The following is a 21,581-nucleotide window of genomic DNA, read 5'->3' on the forward strand; positions in this document are numbered from 1 at the left end:
GGAAGTTATAGATAAGCAAGGGAGAAGGGCTAAAATAAATCCTGCTGTCTGGATTAGAGTCAAAGACATCATAAGGAACTCATGTTTGGCTCAATACTAATACTGACGAATAAACAGATAAATAATTCTAGATATATGTGTAATTATAGGCTAATATACATACCTGCATAACCTAGCCCTGTCCTCTGAAAGGGCCTAAAAGCAATGACAACCCAATAATAACAAGTATGTCCAGCACCCAGATCTTGGTTTCTGAATACCACTCTCCAATAAAAAGAACCAGAGCTCATTGGTGAAATGATTGATTCAAGGGCTAAGGTAGGACTAAGATGAACATGGAGCATTTTGTGGTACCCAAAAGTAAGGAAGTGCTCAAAAAACAAAAGGATGGCAGGGTGGTGTCCATGTCAAAGTGTCACCAGAACAACCCTGAAAGAGTTCTCAATGGCAAAATTTGAACAACAAAATATTATTACTAAGTCATAATCAAAAATATAAAACAAATTCACATAGTCTATACTGGCATAAATAAATGATTGAATAAATAAATAAATGAGAGAGAAGAGGTTACTTTCTTACAGAAGAATTCCAAATCATATATATAAGTATTTAGTCCTCCAGGATGTAGAACTTAGTGCCTCTAACTCCTATTTTCAGTGTGGGCAGGACTCAGTGACTTGCTTCCAAAAAATAGAGTATGATTTTAAAAAATAATAGAAATGGTAAAATACTGTTTTATAGAAGAGAAACCTGGCAAACATATCTTAAACAAGCGACCAAGGTAAATATCACTAATGATGTCGAATTATTATTATGTACCCCTGATATGATATGATGAAAAGAATATTTTCATATCTGTAGTATTCTTGCCAAAAACTTACAACCACAGTCTAATCATGAGAAAAACGTAAGACAAATCTAATTTGAAAGACATCTATAAAATATTTGACTAGTTCTCCTCAAAACTGTTAAGGTTATGAAAAATAGGAAGAGAATGAGAAACCGTCACAGACCAGAGGAGATTAAGAAAACATTACAATTAAATGTAATGTGGTGTCCTGGATAGGAACCAGGAACAGAAAAGGACATTCATAGAAAAACTGGTAAAATTCTAATAAAGTCTATGGTTAAAAAATAAATGTGTACATATAGGAGTCCACATTGATATAAATAAACAATTAAATAAATGGAAGAGAAGTGGAAGTGGCAAATATGTCTTAAAGAAGAATTCCAAATAATAAATTCACATATTCTCCCTCACAGGAGATGGAGTTAAACCCTCCGTTCTTGACTTGCCTCCAAAGAACAGAATATGGAAAGAAGAAAATTTGTTACTATACAATGCAGAGAACTTGCAAACCTAGTACTGCCTGTCCCTGAGCCTTCCTGGGGGTGTGTGTGTGTGTGTGTGTGTGTGTGTGTGTGTGTGTGTGTGTGTGTGTGTGTGTGTGTGTGTGTGTGTAACGCCATGGAGCAATCTCAGCTCACTGCAACCTCCGCCTTCCAGGTTCAAGCAATTCTCCTGTCTCAGCCCCTCTGCTGTAGGTGGGACTCAGGCACTTGCCACCAGGCCCAGCTAATTTTTGTATTTTCAGTAGAGACGGGGTTTCACCATATTGGTCAGGCTGGTCTCCAACTCCTGACCTCAGGTGATCCACCCACCTTGGCCTCCCAAAGTGCTGGGATTACACATGTGAGCCACCACACCCAGCCCTGGGGTTTTTTTAATGATATAAATTACCAGTCAAGCTACCAACCTGGTCCTTAATTTCTCTGGTGCTGGCTGAAAATTCAGCCCCTTGGGGTCTGCTAACAAACTTTCTTACATATTGATCTGACACCATTTCTAGAATTTTGTCATTTTCTCCCTGCCTTCAGAGGGTTGTCTTTTTTAAAAAAAAAAAAAATCTTGAGTTTTAGTGGGATGCCATAAAGGAATAAAATTGAGGCGTGTGTTCAATTTGCCATCTTACCCTAGAAATTTGCTTGAATTTCTTTCTAGGTTGGTACATATATAGCTATCTAATTAGTTTTAACTGGATATACCGTGGAATAACCATTTCTCCATTGGTAAGCATATAAAGTTGTTTCTTATTTTTCACTAAACGATGTTGCAGTGAATATTCTTATACATATTATCTTTGTTCATCTGTGTGCCTGTGCTGAGTTAAGAACATATACACTTTATGTAAGTTATTCATGGTTAAGCTATTTAGCCTCTTAGTCTCACTTTCCTCATTTGTGAAATGCAGAGAACAGTGCCTACCTCATATGGTTATTGTGAAGATCAAATGAGTTAACATGTGTAAAGTGCCTAAAACATAGTAACAGCTATATAGGTTGTTAGTTATTGTCAAATTGCCCTCTGTAAAGGCTATCAGTTATTACAGAGCCGCATTTCCCACCTTTGCTCAAACCCTGGTTATTACAGTCTACTTTTTGAGAAGGAAGGGCAATTTTATTGGTAAAGACAGCATCAGCACCTCATTGTCTAAACTGTCGCTTCACTGTGACTGAGTTTGATAATCTTCTTTCCAATGTTTATCGATCAATTTCCCTTTTCCCCATGCTTATGTATATCTTTTACTTATAAATTATGAAATATTTGAAATGATATACATGAATATCTGTTTTGGGGTATCATCCTTATTTATTTGAGCTTTTTCTTCCCAAAGTGAAAGCAAGTTTATTAAGAAAGTAAAGGAATAAAACAATGGCTACTCCACAGACAGTGTAGTCCTATGGGCTGCTGGTTGCCCATTTTTATGGTTAATTTTTGATGATATGCTAAACAGGGGGTGGATTATTCATGCCTCCCCCTTTTAGACCATATAGGGTAACTTCCTGACGTTGCCATAGCATTTGTAAACTGTCATGACGCTGGTGGGAGTGTCGCAGTGAGGACAACCAGAGGTAAATCTCGTCGCCATTTTGGTTTTGGTAGGTTTTGGCCAGCTCCTTTACTGCAACATGTTTTATCAGCAAGGTCTTTATGACCTGTAGTTTGTACTGACCTCCTATCTCATCCTGTGATGTAGAGTGCCTTAACCGTCTGGGAATGCAGCCCAGTAGGTTTCAGCCTCATTTTACCCAGCTCCTGTTTAAGATGGAGTTGCTCAGGTTCACACGCCTCTAACATTTCCCCCCTCCCTTTTATAAGAGAACCCTTAATCCTAATGATTGCAGAGGGATGAAGATCCATCTTCTTCTGTAACTTCTTCAGGCTGAATAGGGGCAATGATATTCCTGCCTAAGTATGAGGGTCTCTTGCACTCAGGGTAGAGAGGAGCTCAGTCAGAAAGCACCAGTATGGTAAGGTCCATTCATAACTCTTTAAGTTTCAACAGAAGGTAAATGTTTAATTTATGAAAATATTCAGTAAGCTTCTCCTATATTCCTACACAAAGAGTGTAACAGCAATATATTCCACAAGAGTACAGCAAAATAAGTAAAGTTATTCCAAGTAAACTAAACTAGAAGGTTTTCCATGAACTGGACAACTGTTGAAACCAAGTTGATATGGGGTTGCTAGCTGATTGCAATGTGCCCAGAATTAGAATACTGATTCAGATTTTTACATTACCCATCCCACTTGTTCTGAGCAACAGTCAGAGATCACCTGGTTGGTTCACAGGAATTAGTTCACAGGGTTAGCCTACGTTGCAGAAACAAACTTAAAAACAATTAATGAGACTAGAATTTAACAACAAGTGTACCATAGTTTTTGAAACATAGTATTTCCCTCTCCAGTTTCTCATTTTTACTAAAGACAAATTATGGTAAGACCGATATGCTTTATAAAACTTGGCCTGATTATTTGCATAAAGTGCAGCAAGAATAATTATTTTTGACATAAGCTCTTTTTTAAATTGGCTTTGATGGAACTCTGTTCCATAGATGGAATTTCAGATAAGACTTTTTTTTTTTTTGGAGATATAGTCTCGCACGGTCACCCAGGCTGGAGTGCAATGGCACAATCTCAGCTCACTGCAACCTCCACCTCCCACGTTCAAACGATTCTCCTACCTCAACCTTCTGAGTAGCTGGGATTACAGGTACCAACCACCAAGTCCAACTAATTTTTTGTATTTTTAGTAGAGATAGGGTTTCACCATGTTGGCCAGGCTGGTCTCGAACTCCTGACCTCATGATCCACCCACCTTGGCCTCCCAAAGTGCTGAGATTACAGGTGTGAGCCACCACGCCAGGCCCCAGATAAGACTTTTTAAAAGCCAAGCCCAGCCTTGGGTTTCTACCCTCAAGTAGCTATGAATTGGGTAAATTCCTCTCCTCTTGGGGTCCCAAGATAACTTGGAGCTCCTGGACCTGATATGAAAGTGACACTCTTTACTTACCACAGGTCAGAAATCCTGTTTACAGGGACTGTGTAGGCAAGGAATGAGGCCATTTCCTCAAGGGACTTTAATTGGCTCTGTAAGTCAAGTTTAATTTCTTAAAGGAAAACACACCATTCCAGTCAAAGCCTTGGTAAAATAACCAATTTACCCAATTGTGTCCTGTTACAAAAGAAAACAGATTCTTACTGCACCTATGCAAATAACCATATTGCCATAAGTTAAGAATACTCGCAACTAGTTTCCAAATTCTGGAGAAATCAGGTAGAGAGAAATAAATATGCTCCAAAGTTTGTTCATAGGAGTACACTCAACTGTTAAAAGCTGTAAAAAGCTCAAAAGAAGTTTTCTTGACTCTGAAAAACAAAGGATCAGCAACATTTTAAGCAAAGTTAAAAAGACTAGGCTTCTTCAGTTTAGTCCATGTCGTTATCTTCTGTTGGATAGTTATGAACATTTTAGCTCTGAGAGTTCTGAAAGTTTTTTCCTTTATTCTGATGTCATAATCTCCAAAGCTATCAGAAAACTTGCACTTAAGAATACCTGCTAGAGTTCTATAGTTGATTATAAATCGCCTTCTAAAGAGGACTAAAACAAGACAACAATTGTCTGTGGATAGTAAAAAGTTTTAGGCCAGCCCCTATTAAAGCCACAGTAGATAAGGAAATTTGGTTGATTTTGTGGTACACAGAATTTTACATAACAATTATAAATAACATACATTAAGTCGTATTAGAATTATAGGAGTTTCCCATAACTTTGGAACATATTCCAATAACACATTTATGCAAATATAGTACAATGCAAACAAAACACCATTTTACATTTGATAATGCTTCCTGTATGACTTTTACACCAAATAAGCCAAATTTCACCTTTATATTAATGTTCTATTAATGTTAAACCCAATTCTTAATAAAATTTTACAAATATGTCTATCCAATCTTAATCGGTTTGACCATAAGGTAAGATTCTTATAACCCTTTACATTTTTTTGTGAAAGAGCAGATTAGTGCTCTAAGAAAAACCTGTTGTGCTTTTATTCCAATGTTTAATTTACGGAAAAACTGAGTAACACCCCTTTAACTTTAGTCAATATGTTCACACACAGAATCTCTCTCAATTTTTTTCACACCATCCACAACTGTTCAAACTTTTAGCTTTATTCTAACTTAAAATAATTATTTAACTCTTTAGGCAAAAAAATCCACATTCCCGTGCCTTCTTATAATCTTTTACCAAAAGTACATTTTATTTTCCTTACACACCTTGCATATAGAACTGTTTCTTCAATAGTCTCAATTACATGTTACGATGTTAACTTTTACGTTTGGTGAAAACCCTGGTTAGTAAGCAATTTTAATTGTGTTACTAGGACACACCAGGCAGAACTGCAGATAAGAACTGACTCTCCAGCATAGCTAGGGGGCATGGCTAACTCCACATGTCCCCAGGCCTTATCTAGAATCTAATGGCTTTACGGTAGGCAAATTGAACAGTTTCCAAAGTCAACCAGTTTGACCTTAAAGCATTTAGCAAATCTAATATCTGACCTTAATTTAGACCAAATGTCTACATTTTCAAGACATTTTATTTTACCTATAATTTTTAAAACTGTCTTTATTTCCAAAAGATTACTAAAGTCACGTGAACAAAAAGGCATTAAAGTTTCCATTTTTCTGAAAAAATATTAAGTGCTTATTTTTCTAAGCCAATCAATTAGAGCTCTTTTATACATAAACATACAACACATATTAATACATAGAAGATTCCGCACGTGTAAGATTTTTCATTGCCAGTTTCTTAAGTGGATTACTGGCTTCAGGGTGGAGCCCTTGGAGGAAAAGCGCCAGGAAAGCATGCGTTTCTGGGGCCAAATAAGCAGCTGAAGGCAAAGACAGATCCCCAAAATTAAGGGTGCCATTTTATGCTGGTTCCTGGATCCCCAAAAGGAGGGAAATACTACAGAAGACAGTACAGTGCTTCTACTCTGCATTTCACTGCAAGGCAACCCAAAGCCAATCAGCCCATTTCGTCATCAGCCCATCCTTCATGGAAGTCTCATCTCCCAGTGGGGGGTGGGGATGTTTCCTTATCTTCCAGGTGGCCAAGAGCATACTTCTCCGATCCAAGTGTGCAAAGAGTCAAGTGCCCCTCCCTAACTACTATTAGCCATCCCTTAAAGTATATTTCCTACCTAGTTATTACACACCAAAGCTCTCTCATAATGCAAAGTAATTTCTGATACCCCCAAAACTCAAAACTGTCAGATAACACAATGCAAAACAGAACACAGCCTTTGATTTTGAGAGGGATCCATGTGCTTTTAATTCCTGGGGTTTCATGAGGAAAAGAGGGTTTTTTCCCTAAACAGGGTCTGTGGCACTTCCTCTGTTTTTCCCAAGGGGTCTTAGGCTACCAGAAGTTATCTTAGGGCCTCTCATGTGTGCATTAAGAGTGGAAAGACAGCTGGGCACCATGGCTCGGGCCTGTAATCCCAGCACTTTGAGAGGCCGAGGCGGGCAGATCACGAGGTCAGGAGATCGAGGCCATCCTGGCTAACACAGTGAAATCCCGTCTCTACCAAAAATACAAAAAAAATTAGCCGGGCATGGTGGCACACACCTGTAGTCCCAGCTACTTGGGAGGCTGAGGCAGGAGAATCGCTTGAACCCGGGAGGCAGAGGTTGCGGTGAGCCAAGATCGCGCCACTGCACTCCAGCCTGGGCAACAGAGCAAGACTCTGTCTCAAAAAAAAAAAAAAAAAAGTGGAAAGCCAAAAAACAAATGGAGAAAAATAATTTAGTCGACTGAAAAGAAAAAACCTTTTTCCATAAAAACAAGTTCCAAGAAGAGAAAAAAATAAAGGCCTGTTAAATATATCTATAGCTTGTCTATCCATTTTTACGTAAGCTGACTTTTAACCATAGTGCTCTTTAAAAAAACAAATCCTTTCAGATCTCTTATTACCTGACTTTAGCCTTCCCAAATGACCAATATTTCTAGCTTCTGAACTTTATCAAAGGTGCTGAGAGAAAGGAAAATTTAAGACAGTCCACGGAGGAGAAGAGAATAGACAAGATCACACAGATATTAAACCACAGAAATGACTTACTTCCTAGTGGAGAACTGAACCAGGACTGCCAGTGTGAAAGTGCAAAATGTCAGCTACTGAGCTACATACAGTAAGGGGTAGTCCCCATTTCCTTTCCCAGAACAAGTCTACAGTAGTTAATTTTGAGCTTGCAGAGGCTTTTAACTATTTAATATGATTTTTAGAGCTAACTATGACATGAACCCTAAAATTCCTGTTCCCTGGAAAGGGGAGACCAAAAGTACTGCCACGTGGTTACAAGGTCAAGCTCCCAAGGACGTAAAACAAGGTGGAGACTTCATCCAGTATTTGTGTTTGTTTCAGAGACCTGCAGCCAAATTTGTTACTGACCAGCTTGCTGGTTATTCTTGAAAAGCGGGCTTACAGGTGTTCTAAGCCCGTGTTTTATCCTGAAGTACCCCTCAACACAGAAAAACAAATTCATAGCACAAAATACACCAGCTTAAGACTAGCCTTAGAATTCTTTTTTGCATTAATCAAAACTTTACAGAGGAGATAAACACTGATTTTTTTTTTTAACCATTCAGTCAACCGTTTGCACAGAGAGAGAGAGAAGCCTGAAATCTGACTGGTAAGAAATTCTTACTCTTTTGCCGGCATGCCAGGCTTCTGGGTTCCCTTTCCCTGAGCAGCCCTAGTGATCCAGCTTGTGGCACCATAGCCATGGGGGCCAAGCTGCATCATAAAGGAAAATTTTTTTTTTCGTTCTGGCCAGAGCAAAGTCCATGTGATAAAAACAGAGACATTAGCCACTCTGCTTAGCACCCAATATCAAACTGGCAAGGCTTAAATTTGTCCCCAGATGGGCCCCATCATCTTTAATCCAAACTCCGACTTAAGAGTTTCAACACGTGGTCTCTGGGCAAGATGGTCACCCTGAGTAATAGAAAAGATAGGAAAGGAAAAGTAGAGAAGGAAAGTATTGCCTGTGGCAGGGTGGGGAAGGTGAACAGCTTAGGGAGGCCAGAGAAAGACCCACCCATTGCAGCAACACTGAAAAGTTCAGGCGGCTGTTTCTCAGTACCAAAGAGATCTTTTCCAGCCAGTCTCATCAGCTCTCATTTCCCCTTTTAGGGAAGAAAAACCTCCCCATGTCCTACGATCCTGTACATGCCTAATCCTGCCACCCACAGCCATAGCAAAGAGTGCAAGGCAGATTAATCCAAAGAGAATAGCAGTTAACATCCAATAGTGACGAGAGGGGACTCTAATCCTCCTAAGTTGGGCCTCTAACCCAAGGTCAGTCAAGCATCCTTGCCTTTTATTAAGAGGGGCTCCAACCCACTGTGTCTTAGGAGAGACTCTAACTCCCCTAAGTTGGGCCTCTAACCCAATCCCATCCTTTACCCAGGTACCCCACTACTTACCCAAAGTTGTCCAATCAGTGCTGCATCTATTTCCTTTGGGTCGGGGGTCTCAATATTGTCCCTTTTGTGGTTCATGAGAAAGATGTTACTAGACCCCACCACTTACCCAAAGTTAGCCTTTGGGTCAGGGGTTTCTGCAGTATAGTCCCTTCTATGGTCGCCAGAAATATGTTACAGGAACGAGGTCCTGATCCAGACCCCAAGAGAGGGTTCCTGTATCTCGTGCAAGAAAGAAGTCAGGGCGAGTCCACAGTGCAAAATGAAAGCAAGTTTATTAAGAAAGTAAAGGAATAAAAGGATGGCTGCTCCACAGCCTACAGGAGCTCTTTAGGCACTAGAGATACTATTTCCTGGTCAATTATATTACAAATATTTGCTTCCAGTATGTGTCTTTTTTATTTTGCATCTTTTGTCAATGTTCAATTTCTTTAAATTTTTATTAAATGTTTTGTGACTTAAGAACATTTCTGCTGGGCACGGTGGCTCACACCTGTGATCCCAGCACTTTAGGAGGCCGAGGCAGGCGGATCACGAGGTCAGGAGATCGAGACCATCCTGGCTAACACGGTGAAACCCCATCTCTACTAAAAATACAAAAAATTAGCCAGGCGTGGTGGCGTACGCCTGAAGTCCCAGCTACTCGGGAGGCTGAGGCAGGAGAATGGCATGAACCCGGGAGGCAGAGGTTGCAGTGAGCGGAGATCGCACCACTGCACTCCAGCCTGGGCGACAGAGCAAGATTCCATCTCAAAAAAAAAAAAGAACATTTCTGACCTAAGAATATAAAATTAATCTCTTATCTCCTAGATTTTTATGATTTTTAAAAGAAATCAAAAGCTCTTTATTCCATCTCAAATCTGAGGTAGGGATCTACTACCACATTTTTCAGGCCTAATACTTCCCTGCTGCTTTAAAATGCTGTCTTTATATCATGTATTAAATTTCCATATACGCATGTGTTTTAAAAAAGTACTTAAGTTAATATGCTTGCTACAGAAATGTGTTATACATATAAACATGTATGTATGTATATGGGGGTATTTTTGCCAAATAGTGGAACAGAAATTCTAGGTTTTTGTTTTATTCTCTGATTTGTTTGGCTCATATACCATAAATTGGCAGGGATTTTATTAATTATGTGTGTTCTTTCCAACACAGAAAAAAGGCCCCCATAGAAGCCTTCTTTACTCTTAAATGCCCATGGAGATCAAACCTAATCCTAGGCTTATCTTAATGGCTAAATCTCCTTGGAGAATAAACTAATTCTAGGAGCTTCAGGTGGTGTGAATTAGACTATGTGAATCATTTCAAAATAAAAATTATTTTTTAAAGAAATCCAATATATAGATGTTTTTAGGAAAAGAAAGCAAATCATAAAACATGTATGGGATGATCAGTTTATTTAAAAGCCTGTGTGTATGTGACTAAATGAACAGCAAAAGGTCTGGAAGAACATAGAACACATTAATAACACTGGGGACCTCTTGAAAAGCAAGAATTAAAGAAGGAAACGAAATAAAGGGAGACTTCTTTTTTTGCTCCATATAATTTTTCAAAATAATTGTATGTGGAGTCAAATTTTTCAAATCCATGAATAATATCTGAAATATGAATTTGCTTTTAAAACAATATTCATCTTTATGCTCTTGTAAATGTGTATTTATTACCTTTATAAATCAGAAAAAATAAGAAGAAATACATAATAGTAGTTGACATTAAGGACAAGTTTGACAATCTCTTTTTAAGTTCTTTTTCTCTTCATTTTCTTTTTCACTTACACCTATATGACAACAGGACTTCTGGTTCAAGATCACTGCCTGAGTATACAGACATATATTCCCTCCCTTTCAAGACCCAGTGAAATGACAAAAAGTAAAGCATGGAAACCACACCAATGAACAATATGGGACCATCAAGCAAAAGAGATCAGAACAAAATTCCTGACAATAGAAAACAAAGGGCGTTAAATATTGAAGTAGAATGTACACTACAACCTCAGAAATACCAGGTACAAAACCAGGATTGAAAAAAAAACGTAGGTGGAAACAGAAACCTTAACTGACAGTCTACATATCCATTGTTTCATTCAACAAAATTGAACACCCAGGACATACCAGTTCCTGTCCTATGATACAAACAATAGGCAAACCCAAAATAAAGCAGGGGGCACAAAATTGTGAGGGTGGCAGTAGAAATATCACTTCAGATAAGTCAGGAAACATTTCTAGGGAAAAAAATTGAGAAGAGAGACGCAAAAAAAAATAAGGGAGCAAGGAAGGAGAACAAGAATCATTTCTTAAGCAATGATAATGATGTAAACTGTGCTAAGATATTTAAAAATCATCGTATTAAATCATCACCACACATAGAGTTACCTCCAATTTAGAGATTTTTTTAAAAAATGAGGCTCAAAGAAGTCAGAAATTATTCAAGGTTGTACAGATAACTATAATAAGTAATACCAGGTTTTAAATGCAGCTCAAGCTCTTCACCAAATTAATAATACTAATTTTATCTTCTGGGAACCTACACCCATGCTAACAAAAGCCAAGTGGGGTACCTAGACTTCTAAACTTGCCAGGCTGTAATAAAGCACCCTAAAACTGCCACCATAGTAGTATCCAAGAAGCCCAAGTAGGGAGATAGGGCCTTTACTCCTGTCCAGCAATATGGTGACACCTCTTCCCCTCTTCCCCTTAGGTGGTATCAGAGGAGGCCTGGTAGAGACTGAGGACTTTCACCATCACTGAGTAGTAACAAGGCAACCCACACTGTGGTGTCAATGGTGATAACCTGGGAATCCTGGACTTCCATCCCTACCCAGCAGTAACAAGGTGCTCTTCCTTATCCCTCAGGTATCAGCAAAGGCCTCACAGGAAATTGGGACTTCTATCACCACCTGGCAATAAGGAGACAGTGCCCCATAACTTTCAACTACAAGACCCAAAGAAATCCACCGAAAGGCACATGATAATTGAATTTCTGAAAACTGAAGAAAAAAAATATTGAAATCAGCCAGAAAAAAAAATGACAACTTATCAATGGGGGAGGGAGGGCACAAAACAATTCAAATGACAGCAGATTTGTCATCAGAAATCATGGCAGCCAGAAAGAAGAAGAAAAATATTTTCACGTGATAAAAGAAAAGAAGCATCAGACTAGAAATGTGTATCCAGTAAAATTGCCCTCAAAGAATCAAGGGGAAGTCAAGACATTCTCAGATAAAAGAAAACTAAGATAATTTGTCATTGGAGATCTAAAAGAATGAAGAATGACTATTGGAGGTTCTCTAAACAGAAAGGAAGCAATAAAAAAAGAAACCTTGGAACATACAAAGGAAGAAAAAACACAAGAAACAAAATTATGAATAAATAAAATAGGCTTTCCTTCTTCTCCTGAGTTTCTTAAATTATGTTTGACAGTTGTTGGAAGTGGTTTTAAATGTATGTAGAGGAAATATGTGAAACTCTTTTATCATAAATGAGGGACGGTAAAGGAATATAAAAACAGGTAAGATTTCTCTACTCCACTCAAAGTGGTAAAAAAAATCAGTAAACTGTGATACATATGTATATATAATATACCAAGAGCAATGTATATAAAAATACCTAAAGCAACTACTAGAAGAACTATACAAAGAGAGACACTGAAAAACACAGATGAATCCAAATGGAATTCTAAAAATGTTCAAGTAACCCATAGGAAGGCAGATAATGAAAACAGAAATGGAGAACAAATACAAAGACTTAAGTATTAACATATAAATAATTACATTAAATGTAAATGGTCTAAATATACCAATTAAAAGATAGAAATTGGCACAGCAGATTGATGAGAAACCACGTCCCAACTATGCCGTTACAAGTCATTTACCTCAAATAATAACATAGATAGGTTGTATGTAAAAGGATATAAAACATATGCCATGTGAACATTAATGAAAAAAGCGTGTTAGCTATATTAACATCAGATAAAGTAAGCTTTGGAGAAAATAAAATTACCAAAGACAGAGAGGGACATTATATAATGATAAAAGGGCCGACAGACCAAGAAGTAATAGCAATTCTAAATGTCTACACACCAAACAATGTGGCTGCAATATATAAAGCAAAAACACAGAAATAAAAAAATACACAAATCTATAATTATATTTGTAGACTTTCAAACACTCCTCTTTCAACAACTGATAGAAAAACTAGACAGAAAATCATCAAGTATACAGAACTCAACATAAACAAGATCTAATCAACATTTATAGGACACTCCCCCACTACAACAGCAGAATACACATTCTTTCCAAGTACCCACAGAACATACATCAAATATACCATACGGTGGGCCCTAAAACAAATGTCAACAAATTTAAAGGACTGAAATCACATGAAGAGTTTCTGGCTACAATGGAAAAAACTAGAAATTAATAACAGAAAGACAGCAGGAAAATCTCCAAACACTTTGAAACTAAACAACACACTTACAGTCCTGAGAAGCAAAGAGGAAGTCATAAGGCAAATAAAAAAAAAAACCACACTGAACTAAAATGAAAATATAAAATATCAAAATTTGTGGGACACAGCTAAAGCAGTTCTGAGAGGAAAATTTATAATAGCATATTTTAAAAGTGGCAAACGGCCAGGTGCGGTGGCTCACACCTATAATCCCGGCACTTTGTGAGGCCGAGGCGGGTGGATCATGAGGTCAGGAGATCCAGATCCTGGCTAACATAGTGAAACCCTGTCTCTACTAAAAATACAAAAAAAAAAAAAATTAGCCAGGCATGGTGACGGGTGCCTGTAGTCCCAGCTACTGGGGAGGCTGAGGCAGGAGAATGGTGTGAACCAGGAGGCGGAGCTGGCAGTGAGCCGAGACTGCACCACTGCACTCTAGCCTGGGCGACAGAGTGAGACTCTGTCTCAAAAAAAAAAAAAAGCGGGGGGGGGGGGGGGGGACTCTCAAATCAGTAATCTAATCTGCTAACAAGAACCTAGAAAAAAAGAAGAGTTCAACAGACCCAAAGCAGAAAAAAAGGAAGCAACAAAGAGCAGAAATTGCTGAAATTGAAAACAGAAAACAAATGAGAAAATTAATGTGATCAGGAGATGGTTCTTTGTAGAGATCAGTAAAATCAACAAACTGCTACCAAAACTGAAAAACAAGGCAGGAAGACACAAATTAACAATAACTGAAATGAGGCCAGGTGTGGTGGCTCACACCTGTAATCCCAGCACTTTGGGAGGTCGAGGCGGGCGGATCGCCTGAAGTCAGGAGTTTGAGACCAGCCTGACCAACATGGAGAAATCCCCTCTACTAAAAATACAAAAATTAGCCAGGAGTGGTGGGCCTGTAATCCCAGCTACTCAGGAGGCTGAGGCAAGAGAATCGCTTAACCCGGCGGGCAGAGGTTGCAGTGAGCCGAGATCGCGCCACTGTACTCCAGCCTGGGCAACAAGAGCAAAACTCCGTCTCGAAAAAAAGAAAGAAAAACAATAACTGAAATGAAACAGGAGACATCACCACATAGCCTGCAGACATCTAACAAATAATAAGAGAATGTTATAAACAATTCTACACACATAAACTTGATAATTTAGGTGAAATCAACCACTTCCTCTAAAAAACAAATGCAACGCATCCAATTTGAAACAGATAATTTGAATTACTTTATAACTATTAAGGAAATCGAATTCATAATTTTAAAATTTCAAAAATTAAAAATCTCTGGGCCCACTGGCCAGGTGCAGTGGCTCACGCCTGTAATCCTAGTACTTTGTGGGGCCAAGGCGGGTGGATCACCTGAGGTCAGGAGTTCAAGACCAGCCTGGTCAACATGGCAAAATCCTCTCTCTACTAAAACTACAAAGATTAGCCCGGCGTGGTGGCACACACCTATAATCCCAGCTACTCGGGAGGCTGAGGAAGGAGAATCGCTTGAACCCAGGAGTTGGAGGTTGTGGTGACCCGAGATCGCACCACTGCACTCCAGCCTGGGCAACAAGAGCAAATCTGTGTCTCAAAAAAAAAAAAAAAATTCTGGGCCCAGAGTGTTTCACTGAAAATTCTACCAAATGTATAAAAAAGAATCAGCACCATTCTATACAATCTCTTCCAAAAAATAAGAGAGAACATTTCCCCATTCATTTATAAAGGTATTATAGTATTAACCCTGATATCCAGAGAGTACCTGAGAAAAAAACTACAGGACAATATTCCTTATCGATACACGAAAACAATCCTTAACAAACTATAAACAAAATTCAGCAATATATAAAAAGAATTATATACCATGACCAAGTGGCGCTTATTCCAGGGATAAAAAGTTCGTTAAACATTTTTTAAATCAAGTAATAAAATGCACCACCATATCAACAAACTAAAGAAGAAAATCATAAATCAATTCATTGAGGAAAAAAAATTGACAACATCTAATACCTATTCATGATAAAAACCCTCTGCAAACTAGGAATAAGAAGTGCCCTCAAATTGATAAATGGTATCTACAAAAACCTACAGCTAACAGCTATACTACTGCTACTTAATAGTGAAAAGACTGAATGCTATATCTGTGTAATCAGAAACAAGGCAAGGATATCCACTTCTACTACTCATAAACATTGTGCTAGATTCTTCTAGTCACTGCAGTAAGTCAAGAGAAGAAAACAAAAGGCACACAAATCAGAAAGAAAAAACTCCTTATTTATAGACAATGTGATTGTCTACATTCAAAATTCCAAGGTATCTACCAAAACAAACTCTTAGAACTAATGCGTGAGTTCAGCAAGGTAACAAATACAAGATAAATATACAAAAAGCAAATGTGGCCGGGCGCAGTGGCTCACACCTGTAATCCCAGCACTTTGGGAGGCTGAGGCAGGTGGATCACCTGAGGTCAGGAGTTCAAGGACAGCCTGACCAACATGGAGAAACCCCGTCTCTATTGAAAATAAAAAAATTAGCTGGTGGTGGCACATGCCTGTAATCCCAGCTACTCGGGAGGCTGAGGCAGGAGAATTGCTTGGACCCCGGAGGTGGAGGTTGCAGTGAGCCAAGATCGTGCCATTGCACTCCAGCCTGGGCAACAAGAACAAAACTCCATCATTCATTCATAGACAGACAGACAGACAGATAGATAGATAGATAGATAGATAGATAGATAGATAGATAGATTTTTTTAAAAGCAAATGTATTTCTATATTATAAATGTATTTCTAAACTTATTTCTGTGTTCTATGTCTTAAAACTTGAAAATACAATATAATTTACAATCACTCCAAAAACATAAAATATTAAGTGTAAATCTAACAACATATGCATAGAAAATATTAAAAACTATACAACGCTGATGAGCAAAATAAAAAATCTAAATAAATGAAGAACATACCATGTTCATAGACTGGAAAACTCACCAAGAAAAGATGTTATTTCTCCCCAATCTGATAGCTAAACAACAAAATTCCTATCAAATTCCTAGGAAGACTTTTTTTGTATTCTTTTTTGTGCAAACACAATTTTTAAGAGTTTTACTTACAGTAGCTTGATTATTCTAAGCTTATTTTTCTCTTTCTTCCTTTTTTTAACCAAATACCCAGACTTCAATATTCTAAGCTTATACAGAAAGGAAAAGAAACTAGAAGAGCTAAAACAATTTGAAAAACAAAACAGTACACATAATAACTCTACCCAAAAAGTAAATGGGAAAAAAAAAAACCTCAGTCTATGTCTCACACTGTGCAATAAGGATTAATTAACTCAGCAAAAGTCTGGGTTTCCCACACCGTGCACGTTCCGAGAAAGATTTGGCCCTTGCCCAGCTCCTAGGAAGTAACCTCTAAGCCCTTGGAATGTCCAGCCTAGTAAGAAAGTCTTTCTTTACCTGGGGGTTTTAGGCCACTCCATATAGTCTATGCTAATAATGTGATTAATGGTGGGGGCCTTGGACCAAATGGTATCAGCTTGAGGGCTGCAGACGGAGGTCATCCATGAGGGCAGTCAACCACACCTACATACCGACCTACCAAAAAACCCTGGACACCAGGGCTCAGCTGAGCTTACCCAGTTTTCAATATTCCACATGTTCTCATACATCACTGCTAGAAGAAACAAACTGTGCACATGACTTCGCAGTGATAGAACGACTATAAATTTGGGTCTGGTGTCTCCTGGACCCTGTCCTTTGCTTCTTTTTCCATCACTGATTTAAATCTGTATCCTTTAGCTGTAACAAACCATAGCCGTAAGTATAACAACTTTAAGTTCTGTGATTCTTTATGAGAATCACTGAGTCTAGGAGAAGCCTTGGGGACTCCTAAACACACATATATAAAAAATTAACTCAAAATGGATCACAAATATAATAATAAAATATTTAAGAAAAAAATGAGAAAATATCTTCAAGATGTAGAACCAGGCAAAGAGTTCTTAAACTTGACATAAAAAGCACAAACCATAAAGGGAAAAAACCAGTACAGTGAATTTCAAATTTTAAAACTTGTGCTCTATGAGGCCAGATGTGGTGGGTCATGCCTGTAATCCCAACACTTAGAGAGGCAGAGGCTGGAGGATCACTTGAGCCCAGGAGTTCAAGACCAACCTGGACAACATAATAGGACCCTGTCCTTACAAAAAACAAAAACAAAAACAAAAGCCAGGAATGGTGGTACAAGCCTGTAACCAAAGCTACTTGGGAGGCTGAAGCAGAAGGATCACTTGAGACCATGATAGAAGGATCACAGTGAGCCATGATAGCACAACTGCACGCCAGCCTGGGTGACAGAGTGAGACTATCTTCAAAACAATGAAAAAAAAAAAACAGGGAGTATGGGAGGGAACCTGTGCTCTGTGGCCAGGTATGACGGTATGCACCACTACACTACAGCCTGGGCAACACTGCAGGACCCTGTCTTTAAAAAAAAAAAAAAAAAAGTCCAGGTGCAGTGGCTCATGCCTGTAATCCCAGCACTTTGGGAGGCTGAGGCAGGTGGATCACAAGGTCAGGAGTTCGAGACCAGCCTGGCCAACATGGTGAAACGCTGTCTCTAGTAAAAATACAAAAATTAGCCAGGCGTGGTGGCGTGCACCTGTAATCCCAGCTACTCAGGAGGCTGAGGCAGGAGAATCACTTGAACCCGGGAGGCGGAGCTTGCAGTGAACCATGATAGTGCCACTGCACTCCAGCCTGGGCAAGAGAGCGAGACTCTGTGTCAAAAAAAAAAAAAGGCTGAGGTAGGAGGGGATCACTTGAGCCCAGGAGTTCAAGACCAGCCTGGGCAATGTAGCAAGCTCCAGTCTCTAAAAAATAAAAATAAAAAAAATTTTAAAAATAGTAAAACCTTGCGCTTTGCAGGAGATACAATTAAAAGTGAGAGGTGATGCCAGCTGGGCTTCCTGGGTCGAGTAGGGGCTTGGAAAGCTGTAAAACTCACTCATTTCCTGCATCAGGGATTACTTCGGTTCTGGATAAATAATATTGAGGTATAATATATGCTTAAAATATTCCTAACACCAGGATTTACTTATATGTTTTCTTCCCCAAGAAAGCTATAAACAGCGAGAATTTTAGGTGTAAGTTTTCCTGTGTGCCCTCCCCCGAAACCAGAGTTAAAGAAAAGATTAACTGCCCATTTTTCTGTGATCAGTGGGCCTTATCTATCCTCCCAATTCCTTGTAAACACTGTTTGTAAGTTCTATAAGATCCTGCTTTTTTGCTGTGCAGCTGCAAGGCCATAAATCAGGTAAGCGTAAGTCGCAATTTCAGTTTTTCTCAAAATCTAAAGCATGTCACAAAATAATTTACTGCCTTTGTTTCTCGCTCCTGTACTGGAACATACTTCCCGCCTCACATATCTCCCGCCTTAAAGAGTTTAAAAGGCAATCACCCGAGCTAGCAGTGGCAACCCATTCGGGACCCCTTCCATGCTGTGGAAGCTTTGTACTTTCGCTCTGCTCAATAAAACCTACAGCTCATTCTCTCTCTTGGTCCAAGTATCTGTCACTCGCCATGGTCAGCCGCCACACCAATTCTTTGGCGTGGCTAGGCAAAGAACCTTGGGTGTTACATCTTAGTGAGCCAGCCAGGAGACTCCAGGAAGAGCATCCCAACTGCCACGCAGTGAGTACCCTCGGACCTCTTTTGCTTGCTATTCTGTCCCATCCTTCCTTAGAATTCGGAGGCTAAACACTGGGCACCTGTCAGCCAGTTAAAGGCGATTAGCAAGACCACTGGACTAAAAACACGAGTGTCAGCCTGGGAAAGGGCTCTCTGACAATCCCTGACCCTTTGGAGTTGGGAGCACTGGTTTGCCCGGAACCAGTTTTAAGTCTTTCACTTTCTGTAGTGGTCCCGAAGTACACCCGGGAGTGCTCAGCAAATGTCATGGTCTCCCAGATATCCAGGTTGAGACCATGGCCCCACCAGAGGCTCCCACAGCATGGGTTACTAAGCGTGAGACAGCCACATCTTCTGACTCCTGCGTCCTGGGTTCAAATAACTGCCGGTTAGATTTCTTTCCTCACCTGGTAAGCAAGATTATTCCCACTAGACAGGACCAAGAATCCCTATTTAGGAGACTTAAGTTTTTAAGGTGGTGTTCAGAAGTTCCTTGTTGATGGTGCCCTCTGGAATTTAGGCAGGTGTTGCCATCTGATGGCCACTTTGAAAGGCCAGTTCCCCACCATCGTGTATGGTCTCCCACATCAGGACAATTTGAAGACAGATCTGTAATTTTCATGTGGATGGTAGAGGCCCTAGGACATTTTCTTCATTGTTCCCCAGATGAATTTCCTTTTTTTGGTGCCTCTCAAGTATAATCTGTGGTGTATGGGTACGGCCCTTAGAGCAGTTGAATTGCTTTTTCAACCATTCAATCATGGATATTGGAAGAAAGAAAATATAGTCAATTGAGACACGGGATACTGGTACCACCTTAAGATGGGGGCTTACTCCTTTGATGGAAAGTGGGGACAAAAGGCTAGAGTGCAGCAGTTGTTCTCTCAGCCCTGGCCTAGAGGACATCAACCATCCCCTTTGAGCTTACTAAGCCTCCTGTCACTAATTCAGAGATTCCTCCTTGAAGGGCAGTTTTATGGCCAGGCCCACGTAAATTGGGCCTTGACATGCAAGCATCAGTGGTGCCCCCGACCCAGGCCTTGCCACCCCAGAACAGATAGGACGCGTTGGCAAAGGGACCACAATAAATCCAACAGTCCTCATGCCCCATCTAGTGGTCAATGGGTGCACGGCAGAGGGCAAGGATGATTTCCATTCTGCCGGTAAGCGTGGTTAAATCTGGTAAATGGAAGGCTCAAGGACGATCATGCGCTCCGAGCACAATTGGACTGGACCCTTGGGGGATGCCCTAAGGGGAAGATGAGTCCCTAAGACTAACCAGGGGTGCGGGCATACCTGTGTTTAAAATTCCAGTTGGGCACCACGCCTTCAAAACTGGACACTCCCTTGAGATGTATCCTGAATAACTGGGACAAGTTCGACCCTGAGACCTTAAAAAAGAAGCGACTGATTGTCTTCTGTACCAATGCCTGGCCACAGTACTCCTTACAAAATGGAGAAACTTGGCCCCCTGAGGGAAGTATTAATTATAACACCATTCTACAACTAGATCTTTTCTGTAAACGGGAAGGTAAATGGAGTGAAATCCCTTATGTACAGGCTTTCTTTGCCCTTCGTGACAATACTGCTCTATGCCAAGCCTGCAAGATTTGCCCAAATGACAAAAACCCACAATTGCCTCCATACTCAGGGCCTCCTTCCTTAGCCCCACTCTCTTCCCTCACTGACTCTCCTCCATCCAGCCCCACCAAAGTGTTAGAGGCACACCGAAAAGAAAACGTAAACTCCGCGAACCAGGCGCCCAAACTAAGTCCCTTACAAGCAGTAGGAGGAGAATTTAGGCCCACCCATGTGCATGTCTCTTTCTCACTCTCAGATTTAAAACAAATAAAGGCAGATACAGGGAAATTCTCGGATGATCCCAATAACTATATAGATGTCTTACAAGGGTTAGGACAGTCCTTTGATCTAGCATGGAGGGGCATCATGTTGCTCCTTGATCAGACCTTAAGTCCTACTGAAAAGGAGGGAGCTTTAGCGGCAGCCCAGCAATTTAGGGATTTATGGTATCTCAGCCAGGTAAACAGATCAAATGGCCCCAGAGGAGAAGGAAAAATTCCCCCACAGGGCAACAGGAGGTCACCGCTGTAGACCCTCATTGGGATACTGACTCAGATCATGAAGATTGGAGCCGCAGGCATTTGCTAACTTGTATCTTGGAAGGGTTAAGAAGAAGTAGGAAGAAGCCTATGAACTACTCAATGCTATCCACAATTACACAGGGAAAAGAAGAAAACCCCTCAGCTTTTCTAGAAAGGGTATGGGAGGCTCTAAGAAAGTATACCTCCCTAACTCCGGATTCCCTGGAAGGCCAACTTATTCTAAAGGATAAATTTATCACCCAATCAGCGGCCAATATTAGGAGAAAACTCCAAAAGTCTGCCTTAGGCCCAGAACAAAATTTGGAGGCATTATTAAACCTGGTGACCTTGGTGTTCTATAAAATGGACCGAGAGGAACAGGCCAAAAGGGAAAAGCAAGATAAGAGAAAGACCGCAGCCTTGGTCATGGCTCTCAGACAAGCAAACATTGGAGGTTCAGAAAGGACAAAAAATGGAGCAGGACAATCACCTGGTAGGGCTTGTGATCACTGTGGTTTGCAAAGACACTTTAAAAAAGAT

At 39.9% G+C, this 21,581-nt stretch overlaps 1 protein-coding gene across 12 annotated transcripts in view, besides 1 other annotated feature; it reads right to left on the bottom strand.

The window, feature by feature from the left end:
• Positions 1–21,581, bottom strand: part of CEP85L (centrosomal protein 85L) — a 249,318-nt gene that overhangs the window by 138,137 nt on the left and 89,600 nt on the right. The window lies entirely within an intron of this gene.
• Positions 13,005–13,205: a silencer, noted in NCBI's record as "peak6062 fragment used in MPRA reporter construct". NCBI's record gives its function as "represses an SCP1 promoter by STARR-seq MPRAs in K562 erythroleukemia cells {active_cell/tissue: K562}" and the evidence as "EXISTENCE:reporter gene assay evidence [ECO:0000049][PMID:32103011]".

The sequence above is a fragment of the Homo sapiens genome, chromosome 6, assembly GCF_000001405.40.
Source record: "Homo sapiens chromosome 6, GRCh38.p14 Primary Assembly".
NCBI classification, from domain to species: Eukaryota; Metazoa; Chordata; class Mammalia; order Primates; family Hominidae; genus Homo; species Homo sapiens.